The sequence below is a fragment of the Homo sapiens genome, chromosome 7 (genome assembly GCF_000001405.40).
Source record: "Homo sapiens chromosome 7, GRCh38.p14 Primary Assembly".
Lineage (NCBI taxonomy): Eukaryota > Metazoa > Chordata > Mammalia > Primates > Hominidae > Homo > Homo sapiens.
The window spans coordinates 61179874-61205604 of record NC_000007.14 but is presented as its reverse complement, the minus strand read 5'-3'; positions in this window follow the sequence as shown (position 1 = coordinate 61205604).

Here is a 25731-nt window from a genome sequence, read left to right as displayed (position 1 = left end):
AAGATCTTTCTGAGAATGCTTCTGTCTAGGTTTTAGGTGAAGATATTCTCGTTTCCAAAGAATGCTTCAAAGAGTACTTAAATATCCGCCTGCAGATTCTACAAAAGGAGTGTTTCAAAACTGCTCTAACAAAAGAAAGGTTCAACCTGGGAGTTGAATGCACACATCACAAAGAAGTTTCTGAGAATGCTTCTGTCTAGTTTTAATGCGAAGATATTCCCTTTTCCATCATAACCTTCAAAGCGCTCCAAATGTCCATTTGCAGATTTTAGAAACAGAGTGGTTCCAGACTGCTCTATCAAAAGAAATTTTCAACTATGGGAGTAGAATGCACACAACACAAATTCGTTTCTGAGAATGCTTCTGTCTAGTTTTTATGTGAAGATATTTCCTTTTCTACCACAGGCATAAATGTGCTCCAAATATCCACTTGCAGATTCTAAACAAAGAGTGTTTCAAAACTGCTGTATCAAAAGGAAGGTTCAATTCTGTGAGTTGAATGCACACATCACAAAGTAGTTTCTGAGAATGCTTCTGCCTAATTTTTAGATTTAAGATATTCCCATTTCCAAAGAAGGCTTCAATTTGCTCCAAATATCCACTTGCAGATTGTACAAAAAGAGGGTTTCAAAACTGCTCTATCAAAAGGAAGGTTCAACTCTGTGAGATGAATGCACACATCACAAAGTGGTTTCAGAGAATGCTTCTTTCTAGTTTTTAGGTGACGATATTCCCGTTTCCAATGTAGCACTCAAAGAGCTCCAAATATCCTCCTGCAGATTGTGCAAAAAGGGTGTTTCAAAACTGCTCTATCAAAAAGAAGCTTCAACTCTGTGAGTTGAATGCACAAATCACAAAGAAGTTTCTGGGAATACTTCTGTCTATTTTTATGTGACGATACTCCCGTTTCCAAAGAAGGCTTCAAAGCACTCCAAATATCCACCTGCAGATTATAAAGGAAGAGTTTTTCAAAACTGCTCAATCCAAAGGAAGGTTCAGCTCCGTGAGTTCAATGCCCACATCACAAAGAAGTTTCTGAGAATGCTTCTGTCTAGTTTCAATGGGAAGATATTCCCGTTTCCAACGAAGGCTTCAAAGCGCTCCAAATATCCACTTGCAGTGTCTACAAAAAGACCGTTTCAAAACTGCTCTATAAAATAAGGTTGTACTTTGTTAGTTGAATGCACCCATCAAAATGAAGTTTCTGAGAACACTTCTGTCTACTTTTCATGTGAAGATATTTCCTTATCCACAATAGTCCCCAAAGCCCTCAAAATGCCCACTTGAAGATCCCTCAAAAAGACTGCTTCAAAACTGCAGTATCAGAAGGAAATTTCAACTATGTGAGTAGAATGCACACATCACAAAGTAGTTTCTGAGAATGCTTCTGTCTAGTTTTTATATGAAGATATTTCCTTTTCGACCTTAAGCCTCAAAGTGCTGCAATTATGCACTTTCAGATTCTTCAAAAAGAGGGTTTCAAAACTGCTCTGGCAAAAGGAAGTTTCAACGCTGTGAGTTGAATGCACACATCACAAAGAAGTTTCTGAGAATGCTTCTGTCTAATTTTTATGTGAAGATAATCCTGTTTCCCAAGAAGGCTTCAAAGCACCCTAATATCCGCCTCCAGATTCTACAGAAAGAGTGTTTCAAAACTGCTCTATCAAAAGGAAGGTTCAACTCTGTGAGTTGAATGCAGACATCATAAAGGAGTTTCTGAGAATGCTTCTGTCTTGTTTTAATGTGAAGATATTTCCTTTTCAACCGATAGCCTAAAAGAGCTCCAAATGTCCAACTGCAGATTTTTTAAAAAGAATGTTTCAAAACTGCACTATCAAAAGAAAGGTTCAGCTCTGTGAGTTGAATGCACACATCTCAAAGAAGTTTCTGAGAATGGTTCTGTCTAGTTTTTATGTGAAGGTATTCGCGATTCCAATGAAGTCTTCAAAGCGCTCCAAATATCTAAATGCGGATACTACAAAAAGAGTGATTCAAAACTGGTCTATGAAAAGGAAGGTTCAGCTCTTTGAGTTGAACGCACACATCACAAAAAGTTTCGGACAATGCTTCCATTTAGTTTTTAGGTGAAGATATTACCTTTTCAACCACAGCCTTCGAAACGCTCCAAATGTCCACTTGCAGATTCTACAAGAAGATTGTTTCCAGGCGGCTCTATCAAAAGAAATGTTCAACTATGGGAGTAGAATACACACATCACAAAGTCGTTTCTGAGAATGCTTCTGTCTAGTTTTTATGTGAAGATATTTCCTTTTCTACCAGAGGCCTGAAAGCGCTCCAAACATCCAATTGCAGATTCTACAAAAAGAGTGTTTCAAAACTTCTCTATCAAAAGTAAGGGTCTGCTTTGTGAGTTGAATGTACACATCAAAATGAAGTTTCTGATTATACTTCTGTCTACTTCTTATGGGAAGATATTTCCTTATCCGCAATGGTCCTCAAAGCCCTCGAAATGCCCACTTGAAGATTCTTCGGAAAGACGGTTTCAAAACTGCTCTATCAAAAGAAAGTTTCAACTATGTGTGTAGAATGCACACATCACAAAGTCGTTTCTGAGAATGCTTCTGTCTAGTTTTTATAGGAAGATATTTCCTTTTCTACCATAAGCCTCAAAGCACTGCACATATGAACTGGCAGATTCTTTAAAAAGAGTGTTTCAAAACTGCTCTATCAAAACTGTTCTACCAACTCTGTGAGATGAATGGACACATCACAAAGATGTTTCTGAGAATGCTTCTGTCTAGGTTTTAGGTGAAGATATTCTCGTTTCCAAAGAATGCTTCAAAGAGTACTTAAATATCCGCCTGCAGATTCTACAAAAGGAGTGTTTAAAAACTGCTCTAACAAAAGAAAGGTTCAACCTGGGTGTTGAATGCACACATCACAAAGAAGTTTCTGAGAATGCTTCTGTCTAGTTTTAATGCGAAGATATTCCCTTTTCCATCATAAACTTCAAAGCGCTCCAAATGTCCATTTGCAGATTTTAGAAACAGAGTGTCTCCAGACTGCTCTATCAAAAGAAATTTTCAACTATGGGAGTAGAATGCACACAACACAAATTCGTTTCTGAGAATGCTTCTGTCTAGTTTTTATGTGAAGATATTTCCTTTTCTACCACAGGCATAAATGTGCTCCAAATATCCACTTGCAGATTCTAAACAAAGAGTGTTTCAAAACTGCTGTATGAAAAGGAAGGTTCAATTCTGTGAGTTGAATGCACACATCACAAAGCAGTTTCTGAGAATGCTTCTGCCTAATTTTTAGTTTTAAGATATTCCCATTTCCAAAGAAGGCTTCAATTTGCTCCAAATATCCACTTGCAGATTGTACAAAAAGAGGGTTTCAAAACTGGTCTATCAAAAGGAAGGTTCAACTCTGTGAGATGAATGCACACATCACAAAGTGGTTTCAGAGAATGCTTCTTTCTAGTTTTTAGGTGACGATATTCCCGTTTCCAATGTAGCACTCAAAGAGCTCCAAATATCCTCCTGCAGATTGTGCAAAAAGGGTGTTTCAAAACTGCTCTATCAAAAAGAAGCTTCAACTCTGTGAGTTGAATGCACAAATCACAAAGAAGTTTCTGGGAATACTTCTGTCTATATTTATGTGACGATACTCCCGTTTCCAAAGAAGGCTTCAAAGCACTCCAAATATCCACCTGCAGATTATAAAGGAAGAGTTTTTCAAAACTGCTCAATCCAAAGGAAGGTTCAGCTCCGTGAGTTCAATGCCCACATCACAAAGAAGTTTCTGAGAATGCTTCTGTCTAGTTTCAAGGGGAAGATATTCCCGTTTCCAACGAAGGCTTCAAAGCGCTCCAAATATCCACTTGCAGAGTCTACAAAAAGACTGTGTTAAAACTGCTCTATAAAAGTAAGGTTGTACTTTGTTAGTGGAATGCACCCATCAAAATGAAGTTTCTGAGAACACTTCTGTCTACTTTTCATGTGAAGATATTTCCTTATCCACAATAGTCCCCAAAGCCCTCAAAATGCCCACTTGAAGATCCCTCAAAAAGACTGTTTCAAAACTGCAGTATCAGAAGGAAATTTCAACTATGTGAGTAGAATGCACACATCACAAAGTAGTTTCTGAGAATGCTTCTGTCTAGTTTTTATATGAAGATATTTCCTTTTCGACCTTAAGCCTCAAAGTGCTGCAATTATGCACTTTCAGATTCTTCAAAAAGAGGGTTTCAAAACTGCTCTGGCAAAAGGAAGTTTCAACGCTGTGAGTTGAATGCACACATCACAAAGAAGTTTCTGAGAATGCTTCTGTCTAATTTTTATGTGAAGATAATCCTGTTTCCCAAGAAGGCTTCAAAGCACCCTAATATCCGCCTCCAGATTCTACAGAAAGAGTGTTTCAAAACTGCTCTATGGAAAGGAAGGTTCAACTCTGTGAGTTGAATGCAGACATCATAAAGGAGTTTCTGAGAATGCTTCTGCCTTGTTTTAATGTGAAGATATTTCCTTTTCAACCGATAGCCTAAAAGAGCTCCAAATGTCCAACTGCAGATTTTTTAAAAAGAATGTTTCAAAACTGCACTATCAAAAGAAAGGTTAAGCTCTGTGAGTTGAATGCACACATCTCAAAGAAGTTTCTGAGAATGGTTCTGTCTAGTTTTTATGTGAAGGTATTCGCGATTCCAATGAAGTCTTCAAAGCGCTCCAAATATCTAAATGCGGATTCTACAAAAAGAGTGATTCAAAACTGGTCTATGAAAAGGAAGGTTCAGCTCTGTGAGTTGAACGCACACATCACAAAAAGTTTCCGACAATGCTTCCATTTAGTTTTTAGGTGAAGATATTACCTTTACAACCACAGCCTTCGAAACGCTCCAAATCTCCACTTGCAGATTCTACAAGAAGATTGTTTCCAGGCGGCTCTATCAAAAGAAATGTTCAACTATGGGAGTAGAATACACACATCACAAAGTCGTTTCTGAGAATACTTCTGTCTAGTTTTTATGTGAAGATATTTCCTTTTCTACCAGAGGCCTGAAAGCGCTCCAAACATCCAATTGCAGATTCTACAAAAAGAGTGTTTCAAAACTTCTCTATCAAAAGTAAGGGTCTGCTTTGTGAGTTGAATGTACACATCAAAATGAAGTTTCTGATTATACTTCTGTCTACTTCTTATGGGAAGATATTTCCTTATCCGCAATGGTCCTCAAAGCCCTCGAAATGCCCACTTGAAGATTCTTCGGAAAGACGGTTTCAAAACTGCTCTATCAAAAGAAAGTTTCAACTTTGTGTGTAGAATGCACACATCACAAAGTCGTTTCTGAGAATGCTTCTGTCTAGTTTTTATATGAAGATATTTCCTTTTCTGCCATAAGCCTCAAAGCACTGCACATATGAACTGGCAGATTCTTTAAAAAGAGTGTTTCAAAACTGCTCTATCAAAACTGTTCTATCAACTCTGTGAGATGAATGGACACATCACAAGGATGTTTCTGAGAATGCTTCTGTCTAGGTTTTAGGTGAAGATATTCTCGTTTCCAAAGAATGCTTCAAAGAGTACTTAAATATCCGCCTGCGGATTCTACAAAAGGAGTGTTTCAAAACTGCTCTAACAAAAGAAAAGTTCAACCTGGGAGTTGAATGCACACATCACAAAGAAGTTTCTGAGAATGCTTCTGTCTAGTTTTAATGCGAAGATATTCCCTTTTCCATCATAACCTTCAAAGCGCTCCAAATGTCCATTTGCAGATTTTAGAAACAGAGTGGTTCCAGACTGCTCTATCAAAAGAAATTTTCAACTATGGGAGTAGAATACACACAACACTAATTCGTTTCTGAGAATGCTTCTGTCTAGTTTTTATGTGAAGATATTTCCTTTTCTACCACAGGCATAAATGTGCTCCAAATATCCACTTGCAGATTCTAAACAAAGAGTGTTTCAAAACTGCTGTATCAAAAGGAAGGTTCAATTCTGTGAGTTGAATGCACACATCACAAAGTAGTTTCTGAGAATGCTTCTGCCTAATTTTTAGATTTAAGATATTCCCATTTCCAAAGAAGGCTTCAATTTGCTCCAAATATCCACTTGCAGAGTGTACAAAAAGAGGGTTTCAAAACTGCTCTATCAAAAGGAAGGTTCAACTCTGTGAGATGAATGCACACATCACAAAGTGGTTTCCGAGAATGCTTCTTTCTAGTTTTTAGGTGACGATATTCCCGTTTCCAATGTAGCACTCAAAGAGCTCCAAATATCCTCCTGCAGATTGTGCAAAAAGGGTGTTTCAAAACTGCTCTATCAAAAAGAAGCTTCAACTCTGTGAGTTGAATGCACAAATCACAAAGAAGTCTCTGAGAATACTTCTGTCTATTTTTATGTGACGATACTCCCGTTTCCAAAGAAGGCTTCAAAGCACTCCAAATATCCACCTGCAGATTATAAAGGAAGAGTTTTTCAAAACTGCTCAATCCAAAGGAAGGTTCAGCTCCGTGAGTTCAATGCCCACATCACAAAGAAGTTTCTGAGAATGCTTCTGTCTGGTTTCAAGGGGAAGATATTCCCGTTTCCAACGAAGGCTTCAAAGCGCTCCAAATACCGACTTGCAGAGTCTACAAAAAGACTGTTTCAAAACTGCTCTATAAAAGTAAGGTTGTACTTTGTTAGTGGAATGCACCCATCAAAATGAAGTTTCTGAGAACACTTCTGTCTACTTTTCATATGAAGATATTTCCTTATCCACAATAGTCCCCAAAGCCCTCAAAATGCCCACTTGAAGATCCCTCAAAAAGACTGTTTCAAAACTGCAGTATCAGAAGGAAATTTCAACTATGTGAGTAGAATGCACACATCACAAAGTAGTTTCTGAGAATGCTTCTGTCTAGTTTTTATATGAAGATATTTCCTTTTCGACCTTAAGCCTCAAAGTGCTGCAATTATGCACTTTCAGATTCTTCAAAAAGAGGGTTTCAAAACTGCTCTGGCAAAAGGAAGTTTCAACGCTGTGAGTTGAATGCACACATCACAAAGAAGTTTCTGAGAATGCTTCTGTCTAATTTTTATGTGAAGATAATCCTGTTTCCCAAGAAGGCTTCAAAGCACCCTAATATCCGCCTCCAGATTCTACAGAAAGAGTGTTTCAAAACTGCTCTATGGAAAGGAAGGTTCAACTCTGTGAGTTGAATGCAGACATCATAAAGGAGTTTCTGAGAATGCTTCTGTCTTGTTTTAATGTGAAGATATTTCCTTTTCAACCGATAGCCTAAAAGAGCTCCAAATGTCCAACTGCAGATTTTTTAAAAAGAATGTTTCAAAACTGCACTATCAAAAGAAAGGTTCAGCTCTGTGAGTTGAATGCACACATCTCAAAGAAGTTTCTGAGAATGGTTCTGTCTAGTTTTTATGTGAAGGTATTCGCGATTCCAATGAAGTCTTCAAAGCGCTCCAAATATCTAAATGCGGATTCTACAAAAAGAGTGATTCAAAACTGGTCTATGAAAAGGAAGGTTCAGCTCTGTGAGTTGAACGCACACATCACAAAAAGTTTCCGACAATGCTTCCATTTAGTTTTTAGGTGAAGATATTACCTTTACAACCACAGCCTTCGAAACGCTCCAAATGTCCACTTGCAGATTCTACAAGAAGATTGTTTCCAGGCGGCTCTATCAAAAGAAATGTTCAACTATGGGAGTAGAATACACACATCACAAAGTCGTTTCTGAGAATGCTTCTGTCTAGTTTTTATGTGAAGATATTTCCTTTTCTACCAGAGGCCTGAAAGCGCTCCAAACATCCAATTGCAGATTCTACAAAAAGAGTGTTTCAAAACTTCTCTATCAAAAGTAAGGGTCTGCTTTGTGAGTTGAATGTACACATCAAAATGAAGTTTCTGATTATACTTCTGTCTACTTCTTATGGGAAGATATTTCCTTATCCGCAATGGTCCTCAAAGCCCTCGAAATGCCCACTTGAAGATTCTTCGGAAAGACGGTTTCAAAACTGCTCTATCAAAAGAAAGTTTCAACTTTGTGTGTAGAATGCACACATCACAAAGTCGTTTCTGAGAATGCTTCTGTCTAGTTTTTATAGGAAGATATTTCCTTTTCTACCATAAGCCTCAAAGCACTGCACATATGAACTGGCAGATTCTTTAAAAAGAGTGTTTCAAAACTGCTCTATCAAAACTGTTCTATCAACTCTGTGAGATGAATGGACACATCACAAAGATGTTTCTGAGAATGCTTCTGTCTAGGTTTTAGGTGAAGATATTCTCGTTTCCAAAGAATGCTTCAAAGAGTACTTCAATATCCGCCTGCAGATTCTACAAAAGGAGTGTTTCAAAACTGCTCTAACAAAAGAAAGGTTCAACCTGGGAGTTGAATGCACACATCACAAAGAAGTTTCTGAGAATGCTTCTGTCTAGTTTTAATGCGAAGATATTCCCTTTTCCATCATAACCTTCAAAGCGCTCCAAATGTCCATTTGCAGATTTTAGAAACAGAGTGTCTCCAGACTGCTCTATCAAAAGAAATTTTCAACTATGGGAGTAGAATGCACACAACACAAATTCGTTTCTGAGAATGCTTCTGTCTAGTTTTTATGTGAAGATATTTCCTTTTCTACCACAGGCATAAATGTGCTCCAAATATCCACTTGCAGATTCTAAACAAAGAGTGTTTCAAAACTGCTGTATGAAAAGGAAGGTTCAATTCTGTGAGTTGAATGCACACATCACAAAGCAGTTTCTGAGAATGCTTCTGCCTAATTTTTAGTTTTAAGATATTCCCATTTCCAAAGAAGGCTTCAATTTGCTCCAAATATCCACTTGCAGATTGTACAAAAAGAGGGTTTCAAAACTGCTCTATCAAAAGGAAGGTTCAACTCTGTGAGATGAATGCACACATCACAAAGTGGTTTCAGAGAATGCTTCTTTCTAGTTTTCAGGTGACGATATTCCCGTTTCCAATGTAGCACTCAAAGAGCTCCAAATATCCTCCTGCAGATTGTGCAAAAAGGGTGTTTCAAAACTGCTCTATCAAAAAGAAGCTTCAACTCTGTGAGTTGAATGCACAAATCACAAAGAAGTTTCTGGGAATACTTCTGTCTATTTTTATGTGACGATACTCCCGTTTCCAAAGAAGGCTTCAAAGCACTCCAAATATCCACCTGCAGATTATAAAGGAAGAGTTTTTCAAAACTGCTCAATCCAAAGGAAGGTTCAGCTCCGTGAATTCAATGCCCACATCACAAAGAAGTTTCTGAGAATGCTTCTGTCTAGTTTCAAGGGGAAGATATTCCCGTTTCCAACGAAGGCTTCAAAGCGCTCCAAATATCCACTTGCAGAGTCTACAAAAAGACTGTTTCAAAACTGCTCTATAAAAGTAAGGTTGTACTTTGTTAGTGGAATGCACCCATCAAAATGAAGTTTCTGAGAACACTTCTGTCTACTTTTCATGTGAAGATATTTCCTTATCCACAATAGTCCCCAAAGCCCTCAAAATGCCCACTTGAAGATCCCTCAAAAAGACTGTTTCAAAACTGCAGTATCAGAAGGAAATTTCAACTATGTGAGTAGAATGCACACATCACAAAGTAGTTTCTGAGAATGCTTCTGTCTAGTTTTTATATGAAGATATTTCCTTTTCGACCTTAAGCCTCAAAGTGCTGCAATTATGCACTTTCAGATTCTTCAAAAAGAGGGTTTCAAAACTGCTCTGGCAAAAGGAAGTTTCAACGCTGTGAGTTGAATGCACACATCACAAAGAAGTTTCTGAGAATGCTTCTGTCTAATTTTTATGTGAAGATAATCCTGTTTCCCAAGAAGGCTTCAAAGCACCCTAATATCCGCCTCCAGATTCTACAGAAAGAGTGTTTCAAAACTGCTCTATCAAAAGGAAGGTTCAACTCTGTGAGTTGAATGCAGACATCATAAAGGAGTTTCTGAGAATGCTTCTGTCTTGTTTTAATGTGAAGATATTTCCTTTTCAACCGATAGTCTAAAAGAGCTCCAAATGTCCAACTGCAGATTTTTTAAAAAGAATGTTTCAAAACTGCACTATCAAAAGAAAGGTTCAGCTCTGTGAGTTGAATGCACACATCTCAAAGAAGTTTCTGAGAATGGTTCTGTCTAGTTTTTATGTGAAGGTATTCGCGATTCCAATGAAGACTTCAAAGTGCTCCAAATATCTAAATGCGGATTCTACAAAAAGAGTGATTCAAAACTGGTCTATGAAAAGGAAGGTTCAGCTCTGTGAGTTGAACGCACACATCACAAAAAGTTTCGGAGAATGCTTCCATTTAGTTTTTAGGTGAAGATATTACCTTTTCAACCACAGCCTTCGAAATGCTCCAAATGTCCACTTGAAGATTCTACAAGAAGATTGTTTCCAGGCGGCTCTATCAAAAGAAATGTTCAACTATGGGAGTAGAATACACACATCACAAAGTCGTTTCTGAGAATGCTTCTGTCTAGTTTTTATGTGAAGATATTTCCTTTTCTACCAGAGGCCTGAAAGCGCTCCAAACGTCCAATTGCAGATTCTACAAAAAGAGTGTTTCAAAACTTCTCTATCAAAAGTAAGGGTCTGCTTTGTGAGTTGAATGTACACATCAAAATGAAGTTTCTGATTATACTTCTGTCTACTTCCTATGGGAAGATATTTCCTTATCCGCAATGGTCCTCAAAGCCCTCGAAATGCCCACTTGAAGATTCTTCGGAAAGACGGTTTCAAAACTGCTCTATCAAAAGAAAGTTTCAACTTTGTGTGTAGAATGCACACATCACAAAGTCGTTTCTGAGAATGCTTCTGTCTAGTTTTTATATGAAGATATTTCCTTTTCTACCATAAGCCTCAAAGCACTGCACATATGAACTGGCAGATTCTTTAAAAAGAGTGTTACAAAACTGCTCTATCAAAACTGTTCTATCAACTCTGTGAGATGAATGGACACATCACAAAGATCTTTCTGAGAATGCTTCTGTCTAGGTTTTAGGTGAAGATATTCTCGTTTCCAAAGAATGCTTCAAAGAGTACTTAAATATCCGCCTGCAGATTCTACAAAAGGAGTGTTTCAAAACTGCTCTAACAAAAGAAAGTTTCAACCTGGGAGTTGAATGCACACATCACAAAGAAGTTTCTGAGAATGCTTCTGTCTAGTTTTAATGCGAAGATATTCCCTTTTCCATCATAACGTTCAAAGCGCTCCAAATGTCCATTTGCAGGTTTTAGAAACAGAGTGGTTCCAGACTGCTCTATCAAAAGAAATTTTCAACTATGGGAGTAGAAGGCACACAACACTAATTCGTTTCTGAGAATGCTTCTGTCTAGTTTTTATGTGAAGATATTTCCTTTTCTACCACAGGCATAAATGTGCTCCAAATATCCACTTGCAGATTCTAAAAAAAGAGTGTTTCAAAACTGCTGTATCAAAAGGAAGGTTCAATTCTGTGAGTTGAATGCACACATCACAAAGTAGTTTCTGAGAATGCTTCTGCCTAATTTTTAGTTTTAAGATATTCCCATTTCCAAAGAAGGCTTCAATTTGCTCCAAATATCCACTTGCAGATTGTACAAAAAGAGGGTTTCAAAACTGCTCTATCAAAAGGAAGGTTCAACTCTGTGAGTTGAATGCACACATCACAAAGTAGTTTCTGAGAATGCTTCTGCCTAATTTTTAGTTTTTAGATATTCCCATTTCCAAAGAAGGCTTCAATTTGCTCCAAATATCCACTTGCAGATTGTACAAAAAGAGGGTTTCAAAACTGCTCTATCAAAAGGAAGGTTCAACTCTGTGAGATGAATGCACACATCACAAAGTGGTTTCAGAGAATGCTTCTTTCTAGTTTTTAGGTGACGATATTCCCGTTTCCAATGTAGCACTCAAAGAGCTCCAAATATCCTCCTGCAGATTGTGCAAAAAGGGTGTTTCAAAACTGCTCTATCAAAAAGAAGCTTCAACTCTGTGAGTTGAATGCACAAATCACAAAGAAGTTTCTGGGAATACTTCTGTCTATTTTTATGTGACGATAATCCCGTTTCCAAAGAAGGCTTCAAAGCACTCCAAATATCCACCTGCAGATTATAAAGGAAGAGTTTTTCAAAACTGCTCAATCCAAAGGAAGGTTCAGCTCCGTGAGTTCAATGCCCACATCACAAAGAAGTTTCTGAGAATGCTTCTGTCTAGTTTCAAGGGGAAGATATTCCCGTTTCCAACGAAGGCTTCAAAGCGCTCCAAATATCCACTTGCAGAGTCTACAAAAAGACTGTTTCAAAACTGCTCTATAAAAGTAAGGTTGTACTTTGTTAGTGGAATGCACCCATCAAAATGAAGTTTCTGAGAACACTTCTGTCTACTTTTCATGTGAAGATATTTCCTTATCCACAATAGTCCCCAAAGCCCTCAAAATGCCCACTTGAAGATCCCTCAAAAAGACTGTTTCAAAACTGCAGTATCAGAAGGAAATTTCAACTATGTGAGTAGAATGCACACATCACAAAGTAGTTTCTGAGAATGCTTCTGTCTAGTTTTTATATGAAGATATTTCCTTTTCGACCTTAAGCCTCAAAGTGCTGCAATTATGCACTTTCAGATTCTTCAAAAAGAGGGTTTCAAAACTGCTCTGGCAAAAGGAAGTTTCAACGCTGTGAGTTGAATGCACACATCACAAAGAAGTTTCTGAGAATGCTTCTGTCTAATTTTTATGTGAAGATAATCCTGTTTCCCAAGAAGGCTTCAAAGCACCCTAATATCCGCCTCCAGATTCTACAGAAAGAGTGTTTCAAAACTGCTCTATGAAAAGGAAGGTTCAACTCTGTGAGTTGAATGCAGACATCATAAAGGAGTTTCTGAGAATGCTTCTGTCTTGTTTTAATGTGAAGATATTTCCTTTTCAACCGATAGCCTAAAAGAGCTCCAAATGTCCAACTGCAGATTTTTTAAAAAGAATGTTTCAAAACTGCACTATCAAAAGAAAGGTTCAGCTCTGTGAGTGGAATGCACACATCTCAAAGAAGTTTCTGAGAATGGTTCTGTCTAGTTTTTATGTGAAGGTATTCGCGATTCCAATGAAGTCTTCAAAGCGCTCCAAATATCTAAATGCGGATTCTACAAAAAGAGTGATTCAAAACTGGTCTATGAAAAGGAAGGTTCAGCTCTGTGAGTTGAACGCACACATCACAAAAAGTTTCGGACAATGCTTCCATTTAGTTTTTGGGTGAAGATATTACCTTTTCAACCACAGCCTTCGAAACGCTCCAAATGTCCACTTGCAGATTCTACAAGAAGATTGTTTCCAGGCGGCTCTATCAAAAGAAATGTTCAACTATGGGAGTAGAATACACACATCACAAAGTCGTTTCTGAGAATGCTTCTGTCTAGTTTTTATGTGAAGATATTTCCTTTTCTACCAGAGGCCTGAAAGCGCTCCAAATATCCAATTGCAGATTCTACAAAAAGAGTGTTTCAAAACTTCTCTATCAAAAGTAAGGGTCTGCTTTGTGAGTTGAATGTACACATCAAAATGAAGTTTCTGATTATACTTCTGTCTACTTCTTATGGGAAGATATTTCCTTATCCGCAATGGTCCTCAAAGCCCTCGAAATGTCCACTTGAAGATTCTTCGGAAAGACTGTTTCAAAACTGCTCTATCAAAAGAAAGTTTCAACTTTGTGTGTAGAATGCACACATCACAAAGTCGTTTCTGAGAATGCTTCTGTCTAGTTTTTATATGAAGATATTTCCTTTTCTACCATAAGCCTCAAAGCACTGCACATATGAACTGGCAGATTCTTTAAAAAGGGTGTTTTAAAACTGCTCTATCAAAACTGTTCTATCAACTCTGTGAGATGAATGGACACATCACAAAGATGTTTCTGAGAATGCTTCTGTCTAGGTTTTAGGTGAAGATATTCTCATTTCCAAAGAATGCTTCAAAGAGTACTTAAATATCCGCCTGCAGATTCTACAAAAGGAGTGTTTCAAAACTGCTCTAACAAAAGAAAGGTTCAACCTGGGAGTTGAATGCACACATCACAAAGAAGTTTCTGAGAATGCTTCTGTCTAGTTTTAATGCGAAGATATTCCCTTTTCCATCATAACCTTCAAAGCGCTCCAAATGTCCATTTGCAGATTTTAGAAACAGAGTGTTTCCAGACTGCTCTATCAAAAGAAATTTTCAACTATGGGAGTAGAATGCACACAACACAAATTCGTTTCTGAGAATGCTTCTGTCTAGTTTTTATGTGAAGATATTTCCTTTTCTACCACAGGCATAAATGTGCTCCAAATATCCACTTGCAGATTCTAAACAAAGAGTGTTTCAAAACTGCTGTATCAAAAGGAAGGTTCAATTCTGTGAGTTGAATGCACACATCACAAAGTAGTTTCTGAGAATGCTTCTGCCTAATTTTTAGATTTAAGATATTCCCATTTCCAAAGAAGGCTTCAATTTGCTCCAAATATCCACTTGCAGATTGTACAAAAAGAGGGTTTCAAAACTGCTCTATCAAAAGGAAGGTTCAACTCTGTGAGATGAATGCACACATCACAAAGTGGTTTCAGAGAATGCTTCTTTCTAGTTTTTAGGTGACGATATTCCCGTTTCCAATGTAGCACTCAAAGAGCTCCAAATATCCTCCTGCAGATTGTGCAAAAAGGGTGTTTCAAAACTGCTCTATCAAAAAGAAGCTTCAACTCTGTGAGTTGAATGCACAAATCACAAAGAAGTTTCTGGGAATACTTCTGTCTATTTTTATGTGACGATACTCCCGTTTCCAAAGAAGGCTTCAAAGCACTCCAAATATCCACCTGCAGATTATAAAGGAAGAGTTTTTCAAAACTGCTCAATCCAAAGGAAGGTTCAGCTCCGTGAGTTCAATGCCCACATCACAAAGAAGTTTCTGAGAATGCTTCTGTCTAGTTTCAAGGGGAAGATATTCCCGTTTCCAACGAAGGCTTCAAAGCGCTCCAAATATCCACTTGCAGAGTCTACAAAAAGACTGTTTCAAAACTGCTCTATAAAAGTAAGGTTGTACTTTGTTAGTTGAATGCACCCATCAAAATGAAGTTTCTGAGAACACTTCTGTCTACTTTTCATGTGAAGATATTTCCTTATCCACAATAGTCCCCAAAACCCTCAAAATGCCCACTTGAAGATCCCTCAAAAAGACTGTTTCAAAACTGCAGTATCAGAAGGAAATTTCAACTATGTGAGTAGAATGCACACATCACAAAGTAGTTTCTGAGAATGCTTCTGTCTAGTTTTTATATGAAGATATTTCCTTTTCGACCTTAAGCCTCAAAGTGCTGCAATTATGCACTTTCAGATTCTTCAAAAAGAGGGTTTCAAAACTGCTCTGGCAAAAGGAAGGTTCAACGCTGTGAGTTGAATGCACACATCACAAAGAAGTTTCTGAGAATGTTTCTGTCTAATTTTTATGTGAAGATAATCCTGTTTCCCAAGAAGGCTTCAAAGCACCCTAATATCCGCCTCCAGATTCTACAGAAAGAGTGTTTCAAAAGTGCTCTATCAAAAGTAAGGTTCAACTCTGTGAGTTGAATGCAGACATCATAAAGGAGTTTCTGAGAATGCTTCTGTCTTGTTTTAATGTGAAGATATTTCCTTTTCAACCGATAGCCTAAAAGAGCTCAAATGTCCAACTGCAGATTTTTTAAAAAGAATGTTTCAAAACTGCACTATCAAAAGAAAGGTTCAGCTCTGTGAGTTGAATGCACACATCTCAAAGAAGTTTCTGAGAATGGTTCTGTCTAGTTTTTATGTGAAGGTATTCACGATTCCAATGAAGTCTTCAAAGCGCTCCAAATATCTAAATGCGGATTCTACAAAAAGAGTGATTCAAAACTGGTCTATGAAAAGGAAGGTTCAGCTCTGTGAGTTCAACGCACACATCACAAAAAGTTTCGGACAATGCTTCCATTTAGTTTTTGGGTGAAGATATTACCTTTTCAACCACAGCCTTCGAAACGCTCCAAATGTCCACTTGCAGATTCTGCAAGAAGATTGTTTCCAGGCGGCTCTATCAAAAGAAATGTTCAACTATGGGAGTAGAATACACACATCACAAAGTCGTTTCTGAGAATGCTTCTGTCTAGTTTTTATGTGAAGATATTTCCTTTTCTACCAGAGGCCTGAAAGCGCTCCAAATATCCAATTGCAGATTCTACAAAAAGAGTGTTTCAAAACTTCTCTATCAAAAGTAAGGGTCTGCTTTGTGAGTTGAATGTACACATCAAAATGAAGTTTCTGATTATACTTCTGTCTACTTCTTATGGGAAGATATTTCCTTATCCGCAATGGTCCTCAAAGCCCTCGAAATGTCCACTTGAAGATTCTTCGGAAAGACTGCTTCAAAACTGCTCTATCAAAAGAAAGTTTCAACTTTGTGTGTAGAATGCACACATCACAAAGTCGTTTCTGAGAATGCTTCTGTCTAGGTTTTATATGAAGATATTTCCTTTTCTACCATAAGCCTCAAAGCACTGCACATATGAACTGGCAGATCCTTTAAAAAGTGTTTCAAAACTGCTCTATCAAAACTGTTCTATCAACTCTGTGAGATGAATGGACACATCACAAAGATGTTTCTGAGAATGCTTCTGTCTAGGATTTAGGTGAAGATATTCTCGTTTCCAAAGAATGCTTCAAAGAGTACTTAAATATCTGCCTGCAGATTCTACAAAAGGAGTGTTTCAAAACTGCTCTAACAAAAGAAAGGTTCAACCTGGGAGTTGAATGCACACATCAGAAAGAAGTTTCTGAGAATGCTTCTGTCTAGTTTTAATGCGAAGATATTCCCTTTTCCATCATAACCTTCAAAGCGCTCCAACTGTCCATTTACAGATTTTAGAAACAGAGTGTTTCCACACTGCTCTATCAAAAGAAATTTTCAACTATGGGAGTAGAATGCACACATCACAAATTCGTTTCTGAGAATGCTTCTGTCTAGTTTTTATGTGAAGATATTTCCTTTTCTACCACAGGCATAAATGTGCTCCAAATATCCACTTGCAGATTCTAAAAAAAAGAGTGTTTCAAAACTGCTGTATCAAAAGGAAGGTTCAATTCTGTGAGTTGAATGCACACATCACAAAGTAGTTTCTGAGAATGCTTCTGCCTAATTTTTAGATTTAAGATATTCCCATTTCCAAAGAAGGCTTCAATTTGCTCCAAATATCCACTTGCAGATTGTACAAAAAGAGGGTTTCAAAACTGCTCTATCAAAAGGAAGGTTCAACTCTGTGAGATGAATGCACACATCACAAAGTGGTTTCAGAGAATGCTTCTTTCTAGTTTTTAGGTGACGATATTCCCGTTTCCAATGTAGCACTCAAAGAGCTCCAAATATCCTCCTGCAGATTGTGCAAAAAGGGTGTTTCAAAACTGCTCTATCAAAAAGAAGCTTCAACTCTGTGAGTTGAATGCACAAATCACAAAGAAGTTTCTGGGAATACTTCTGTCTATTTTTATGTGACGATACTCCCGTTTCCAAAGAAGGCTTCAAAGCACTCCAAATATCCACCTGCAGATAATAAAGGAAGAGTTTTTCAAAACTGCTCAATCCAAAGGAAGGTTCAGCTCCGTGAGTTCAATGCCCACATCACAAAGAAGTTTCTGAGAATGCTTCTGTCTAGTTTCAAGGGGAAGATATTCCCGTTTCCAACGAAGGCTTCAAAGCGCTCCAAATATCCACTTGCAGAGTCTACAAAAAGACTGTTTCAAAACTGCTCTATAAAAGTAAGGTTGTACTTTGTTAGTGGAATGCACCCATCAAAATGAAGTTTCTGAGAACACTTCTGTCTACTTTTCATGTGAAGATATTTCCTTATCCACAATAGTCCCCAAAGCCCTCAAAATGCCCACTTGAAGATCCCTCAAAAAGACTGTTTCAAAACTGCAGTATCAGAAGGAAATTTCAACTATGTGAGTAGAATGCACACATCACAAAGTAGTTTCTGAGAATGCTTCTGTCTAGTTTTTATATGAAGATATTTCCTTTTCGACCTTAAGCCTCAAAGTGCTGCAATTATGCACTTTCAGATTCTTCAAAAAGAGGGTTTCAAAACTGCTCTGGCAAAAGGAAGTTTCAACGCTGTGAGTTGAATGCACACATCACAAAGAAGTTTCTGAGAATGCTTCTGTCTAATTTTTATGTGAAGATAATCCTGTTTCCCAAGAAGGCTTCAAAGCACCCTAATATCCGCCTCCAGATTCTACAGAAAGAGTGTTTCAAAACTGCTCTATCAAAAGGAAGGTTCAACTCTGTGAGTTGAATGCAGACATCATAAAGGAGTTTCTGAGAATGCTTCTGTCTTGTTTTAATGTGAAGATATTTCCTTTTCAACCGATAGCCTAAAAGAGCTCCAAATGTCCAACTGCAGATTTTTTAAAAAGAATGTTTCAAAACTGCACTATCAAAAGAAAGGTTCAGCTCTGTGAGTTGAATGCACACATCTCAAAGAAGTTTCTGAGAATGGTTCTGTCTAGTTTTTATGTGAAGGTATTCGCGATTCCAATGAAGTCTTCAAAGCGCTCCAAATATCTAAATGCGGATTCTACAAAAAGAGTGATTCAAAACTGGTCTATGAAAAGGAAGGTTCAGCTCTGTGAGTTGAACGCACACATCACAAAACTTTTCGGAGAATGCTTCCATTTAGTTTTTAGGTGAAGATATTACCTTTTCAACCACAGCCTTCGAAACGCTCCAAATGTCCACTTGCAGATTCTACAAGAAGATTGTTTCCAGGCGGCTCTATCAAAAGAAATGTTCAACTATGGGAGTAGAATACACACATCACAAAGTCGTTTCTGAGAATGCTTCTGTCTAGTTTTTATGTGAAGATATTTCCTTTTTTACCAGAGGCCTGAAAGCGCTCCAAATATCCAATTGCAGATTCTACAAAAAGAGTGTTTCAAAACTTCTCTATCAAAAGTAAGGGTCTGCTTTGTGAGTTGAATGTACACATCAAAATGAAGTTTCTGATTATACTTCTGTCTACTTCTTATGGGAAGATATTTCCTTATCCGCAATGGTCCTCAAAGCCCTCGAAATGCCCACTTGAAGATTCTTCGGAAAGACGGTTTCAAAACTGCTCTATCAAAAGAAAGTTTCAACTTTGTGTGTAGAATGCACACATCACAAAGTCGTTTCTGAGAATGCTTCTGTCTAGTTTTTATATGAAGATATTTCCTTTTCTACCATAAGCCTCAAAGCACTGCACATATGAACTGGCAGATTCTTTAAAAAGAGTGTTTCAAAACTGCTCTATCAAAACTGTTCTATCAACTCTGTGAGATGAATGGACACATCACAAGGATGTTTCTGAGAATGCTTCTGTCTAGGTTTTAGGTGAAGATATTCTCGTTTCCAAAGAATGCTTCAAAGAGTACTTAAATATCCGCCTGCAGATTCTACAAAAGGAGTGTTTCAAAACTGCTCTAACAAAAGAAAAGTTCAACCTGGGAGTTGAATGCACACATCACAAAGAAGTTTCTGAGAATGCTTCTGTCTAGTTTTAATGCGAAGATATTCCCTTTTCCATCATAACCTTCAAAGCGCTCCAAATGTCCATTTGCAGATTTTAGAAACAGAGTGGTTCCAGACTGCTCTATCAAAAGAAATTTTCAACTATGGGAGTAGAATACACACAACACTAATTCGTTTCTGAGAATGCTTCTGTCTAGTTTTTATGTGAAGATATTTCCTTTTCTACCACAGGCATAAATGTGCTCCAAATATCCACTTGCAGATTCTAAACAAAGAGTGTTTCAAAACTGCTGTATCAAAAGGAAGGTTCAATTCTGTGAGTTGAATGCACACATCACAAAGTAGTTTCTGAGAATGCTTCTGCCTAATTTTTAGATTTAAGATATTCCCATTTCCAAAGAAGGCTTCAATTTGCTCCAAATATCCACTTGCAGAGTGTACAAAAAGAGGGTTTCAAAACTGCTCTATCAAAAGGAAGGTTCAACTCTGTGAGATGAATGCACACATCACAAAGTGGTTTCCGAGAATGCTTCTTTCTAGTTTTTAGGTGACGATATTCCCGTTTCCAATGTAGCACTCAAAGAGCTCCAAATATCCTCCTGCAGATTGTGCAAAAAGGGTGTTTCAAAACTGCTCTATCAAAAAGAAGCTTCAACTCTGTGAGTTGAATGCACAAATCACAAAGAAGTTTCTGGGAATACTTCTGTCTATTTTTATGTGACGATAGTCCCGTTTCCAAAGAAGGCTTCAAAGCACTCCAAATATCCACCTGCAGATTATAAAGGAAGAGTTTTTCAAAAATGCTCAATCCAAAGGAAGGTTCAGCTCCGTGAGTTCAATGCCCACATCACAAAAGAAGTTTCTGAGAATGCTTCTGTCTAGTTTCAAGGGAAGATATTCCCGTTTCCAACGAAGGCTTCAAAGCGCTCCAAATATCCACTTGCAGAGTCTACAAAAAGACTGTTTCAAAACTGCTCTATAAAAGTAAGGTTGTACTTTGTTAGTGGAATGCACCCATCAAAATGAAGTTTCTGAGAACACTTCTGTCTACTTTTCATGTGAAGATATTTCCTTATCCACAATAGTCCCCAAAGCCCTCAAAATGCCCACTTGAAGATCCCTCAAAAAGACTGTTTCAAAACTGCAGTATCAGAAGGAAATTTCAACTATGTGAGTAGAATGCACACATCACAAAGTAGTTTCTGAGAATGCTTCTGTCTAGTTTTTATATGAAGATATTTCCTTTTCGACCTTAAGCCTCAAAGTGCTGCAATTATGCACTTTCAGATTCTTCAAAAAGAGGGTTTCAAAACTGCTCTGGCAAAAGGAAGTTTCAACGCTGTGAGTTGAATGCACACATCACAAAGAAGTTTCTGAGAATGCTTCTGTCTAATTTTTATGTGAAGATAATCCTGTTTCCCAAGAAGGCTTCAAAGCACCCTAATATCCGCCTCCAGATTCTACAGAAAGAGTGTTTCAAAACTGCTCTATCAAAAGGAAGGTTCAACTCTGTGAGTTGAATGCAGACATCATAAAGGAGTTTCTGAGAATGCTTCTGTCTTGTTTTAATGTGAAGATATTTCCTTTTCAACCGATAGCCTAAAAGAGCTCCAAATGTCCAACTGCAGATTTTTTAAAAAGAATGTTTCAAAACTGCACTATCAAAAGAAAGGTTCAGCTCTGTGAGTTGAATGCACACATCTCAAAGAAGTTTCTGAGAATGGTTCTGTCTAGTTTTTATGTGAAGGTATTCGCGATTCCAATGAAGTCTTCAAAGCGCTCCAAATATCAAAATGCGGATTCTACAAAAAGAGTGATTCAAAACTGGTCTATGAAAAGGAAGGTTCAGCTCTGTGAGTTGAACGCACACATCACAAAAAGTTTCGGACAATGCTTCCATTTAGTTTTTGGGTGAAGATATTACCTTTTCAACCACAGCCTTCGAAACGCTCCAAATGTCCACTTGCAGATTCTACAAGAAGATTGTTTCCAGGCGGCTCTATCAAAAGAAATGTTCAACTATGGGAGTAGAATACACACATCACAAAGTCGTTTCTGAGAATGCTTCTGTCTAGTTTTTATGTGAAGATATTTCCTTTTCTACCAGAGGCCTGAAAGTGCTCCAAATATCCAATTGCAGATTCTACAAAAAGAGTGTTTCAAAACTTCTCTATCAAAAGTAAGGGTGTGCTTTGTGAGTTAAATGTGCACATCAAAATGAAGTTTCTGATTATACTTCTGTCTACTTCTTATGGGAAGATATTTCCTTATCCGCAATGGTCCTCAAAGCCCTCGAAATGCCCACTTGAAGATACTTCGGAAAGACGGTTTCAAAACTGCTCTATCAAAAGAAAGTTTCAACTTTGTGTGTAGAATGCACACATCACAAAGTCGTTTCTGAGAATGCTTCTGTCTAGTTTTTATAGGAAGATATTTCCTTTTCTACCATAAGCCTCAAAGCACTGCACATATGAACTGGCAGATTCTTTAAAAAGAGTGTTTCAAAACTGCTCTATCAAAACTGTTCTATCAACTCTGTGAGATGAATGGACACATCACAAAGATGTTTCTGTGAATGCTTCTGTCTAGGTTTTAGGTGAAGATATTCTCGTTTCCAAAGAATGCTTCAAAGAGTACTTAAATATCCGCCTGCAGATTCTACAAAAGGAGTGTATCAAAACTGCTCTAACAAAAGAAAGGTTCAACCTGGGAGTTGAATGCACACATCACAAAGAAGTTTCTGAGAATGCTTCTGTCTAGTTTTAATGCGAAGATATTCCCTTTTCCATCATAACCTTCAAAGCGCTCCAAATGTCCATTTGCAGATTTTAGAAACAGAGTGTTTCCAGACTGCTCTATCAAAAGAAATTTTCAACTATGGTAGTAGAATGCACACAACACAAATTCGTTTCTGAGAATGCTTCTGTCTAGTTGTTATGTGAAGATATTTCCTTTTCTACCGTAGGCATACATGTGCTCCAAATATCCACTTGCAGATTCTAAACAAAGAGTGTTTCAAATCTGCTGTATCAAAAGGAAGGTTCAATTCTGTGAGTTGAATGCACACATCACAAAGTAGTTTCTGAGAATGCTTCTGCCTAATTTTTAGATTTAAGATATTCCCATTTCCAAAGAAGGCTTCAATTTGCTCCAAATATCCACTTGCAGATTGTACAAAAAGAGGGTTTCAAAACTGCTCTATGAAAAGGAAGGTTCAACTCTGTGAGATGAATGCACACATCACAAAGTGGTTTCAGAGAATGCTTCTTTCTAGTTTTTAGGTGACGATATTCCCGTTTCCAATGTAGCACTCAAAGAGCTCCAAATATCCTCCTGCAGATTGTGCAAAAAGGGTGTTTCAAAACTGCTCTATCAAAAAGAAGCTTCAACTCTGTGAGTTGAATGCACAAATCACAAAGAAGTTTCTGGGAATACTTCTGTCTATTTTTATGTGACGATACTCCCGTTTCCAAAGAAGGCTTCAAAGCACTCCAAATATCCACCTGCAGATTATAAAGGAAGAGTTTTTCAAAACTGCTCAATCCAAAGGAAGGTTCAGATCCGTGAGTTCAATGCCCACATCACAAAGAAGTTTCTGAGAATGCTTCTGTCTAGTTTCAAGGGGAAGATATTCCCGTTTCCAACGAAGGCTTCAAAGCGCTCCAAATATCCACTTGCAGAGTCTACAAAAAGACTGTTTCAAAACTGCTCTATAAAAGTAAGGTTGTACTTTGTTAGTGGAATGCACCCATCAAAATGAAGTTTCTGAGAACACTTCTGTCTACTTTTCATGTGAAGATATTTCCTTATCCACAATAGTCCCCAAAGCCCTCAAAATGCCCACTTGAAGATCCCTCAAAAATACTGTTTCAAAACTGCAGCATCAGAAGGAAATTTCAACTATGTGAGTAGAATGCACACATCACAAAGTAGTTTCTGAGAATGCTTCTGTCTAGTTTTTATATGAAGATATTTCCTTTTCGACCTTAAGCCTCAAAGTGCTGCAATTATGCACTTTCAGATTCTTCAAAAAGAGGGTTTCAAAACTGCTCTGGCAAAAGGAAGTTTCAACGCTGTGAGTTGAATGCACACATCTCAAAGAAGTTTCTGAGAATGGTTCTGTCTAGTTTTTATGTGAAGGTATTCGCGATTCCAATGAAGTCTTCAAAGCGCTCCAAATATCAAAATGCGGATTCTACAAAAAGAGTGATTCAAAACTGGTCTATGAAAAGGAAGGTTCAGCTCTGTGAGTTGAACGCACACATCACAAAAAGTTTCGGACAATGCTTCCATTTAGTTTTTGGGTGAAGATATTACCTTTTCAACCACAGCCTTCGAAACGCTCCAAATGTCCACTTGCAGATTCTACAAGAAGATTGTTTCCAGGCGGCTCTATCAAAAGAAATGTTCAACTATGGGAGTAGAATACACACATCACAAAGTCGTTTCTGAGAATGCTTCTGTCTAGTTTTTATGTGAAGATATTTCCTTTTCTACCAGAGGCCTGAAAGCGCTCCAAATATCCAATTGCAGATTCTACAAAAAGAGTGTTTCAAAACTTCTCTATCAAAAGTAAGGGTCTGCTTTGTGAGTTGAATGTACACATCAAAATGAAGTTTCTGATTATACTTCTGTCTACTTCTTATGGGAAGATATTTCCTTATCCGCAATGGTCCTCAAAGCCCTCGAAATGTCCACTTGAAGATTCTTCGGAAAGACTGTTTCAAAACTGCTCTATCAAAAGAAAGTTTCAACTTTGTGTGTAGAATGCACACATCACAAAGTCGTTTCTGAGAATGCTTCTGTCTAGTTTTTATATGAAGATATTTCCTTTTCTACCATAAGCCTCAAAGCACTGCACATATGAATTGGCAGATTCTTTAAAAAGAGTGTTTCAAAACTGCTCTATCAAAACTGTTCTATCAACTCTGTGAGATGAATGGACACATGACAAAGATGTTTCTGAGAATGCTTCTGTCTAGGTTTTAGGTGAAGATATTCTCGTTTCCAAAGAATGCTTCAAAGAGTACTTAAATATCCGCCTGCAGATTCTACAAAAGGAGTGTTTCAAAACTGCTCTAACAAAAGAAAGGTTCAACCTGGGAGTTGAATGCACACATCACAAAGAAGTTTCTGAGAATGCTTCTGTCTAGTTTTAATGCGAGGATATTCCCTTTTCCATCATAACCTTCAAAGCGCTCCAAATGTCCATTTGCAGATTTTAGAAACAGAGTGTTTCCAGACTGCTCTATCAAAAGAAATTTTCAACTATGGGAGTAGAATGCACACAACACAAATTCGTTTCTGAGAATGCTTCTGTCTAGTTTTTATGTGAAGATATTTCCTTTTCTACCGTAGGCATACATGTGCTCCAAATATCCACTTGCAGATTCTAAACAAAGAGTGTTTCAAAACTGCTGTATCAAAAGGAAGGTTCAATTCTGTGAGTTGAATGCACACATCACAAAGTAGTTTCTGAGAATGCTTCTGCCTAATTTTTAGATTTAAGATATTCCCATTTCCAAAGAAGGCTTCAATTTGCTCCAAATATCCACTTGCAGATTGTACAAAAAGAGGGTTTCAAAACTGCTCTATCAAAAGGAAGGTTCAACTCTGTGAGATGAATGCACACATCACAAAGTGGTTTCAGAGAATGCTTCTTTCTAGTTTTTAGGTGACGATATTCCCATTTCCAATGTAGCACTCAAAGAGCTCCAAATATCCTCCTGCAGATTGTGCAAAAAGGGTGTTTCAAAACTGCTCTATCAAAAAGAAGCTTCAACTCTGTGAGTTGAATGCACAAATCACAAAGAAGTTTCTGGGAATACTTCTGTCTATTTTTATGTGACGATACTCCCGTTTCCAAAGAAGGCTTCAAAGCACTCCAAATATCCACCTGCAGATTATAAAGGAAGAGTTTTTCAAAACTGCTCAATCCAAAGGAAGGTTCAGCTCCGTGAGTTCAATGCCCACATCACAAAGAAGTTTCTGAGAATGCTTCTGTCTAGTTTCAAGGGGAAGATATTCCCGTTTCCAACGAAGGCTTCAAAGCGCTCCAAATATCCACTTGCAGAGTCTACAAAAAGACCGTTTCAAAACTGCTCTATAAAAGTAAGGTTGTACTTTGTTAGTTGAATGCACCCATCAAAATGAAGTTTCTGAGAACACTTCTGTCTACTTTTCATGTGAAGATATTTCCTTATCCACAATAGTCCCCAAAGCCCTCAAAATGCCCACTTGAAGATCCCTC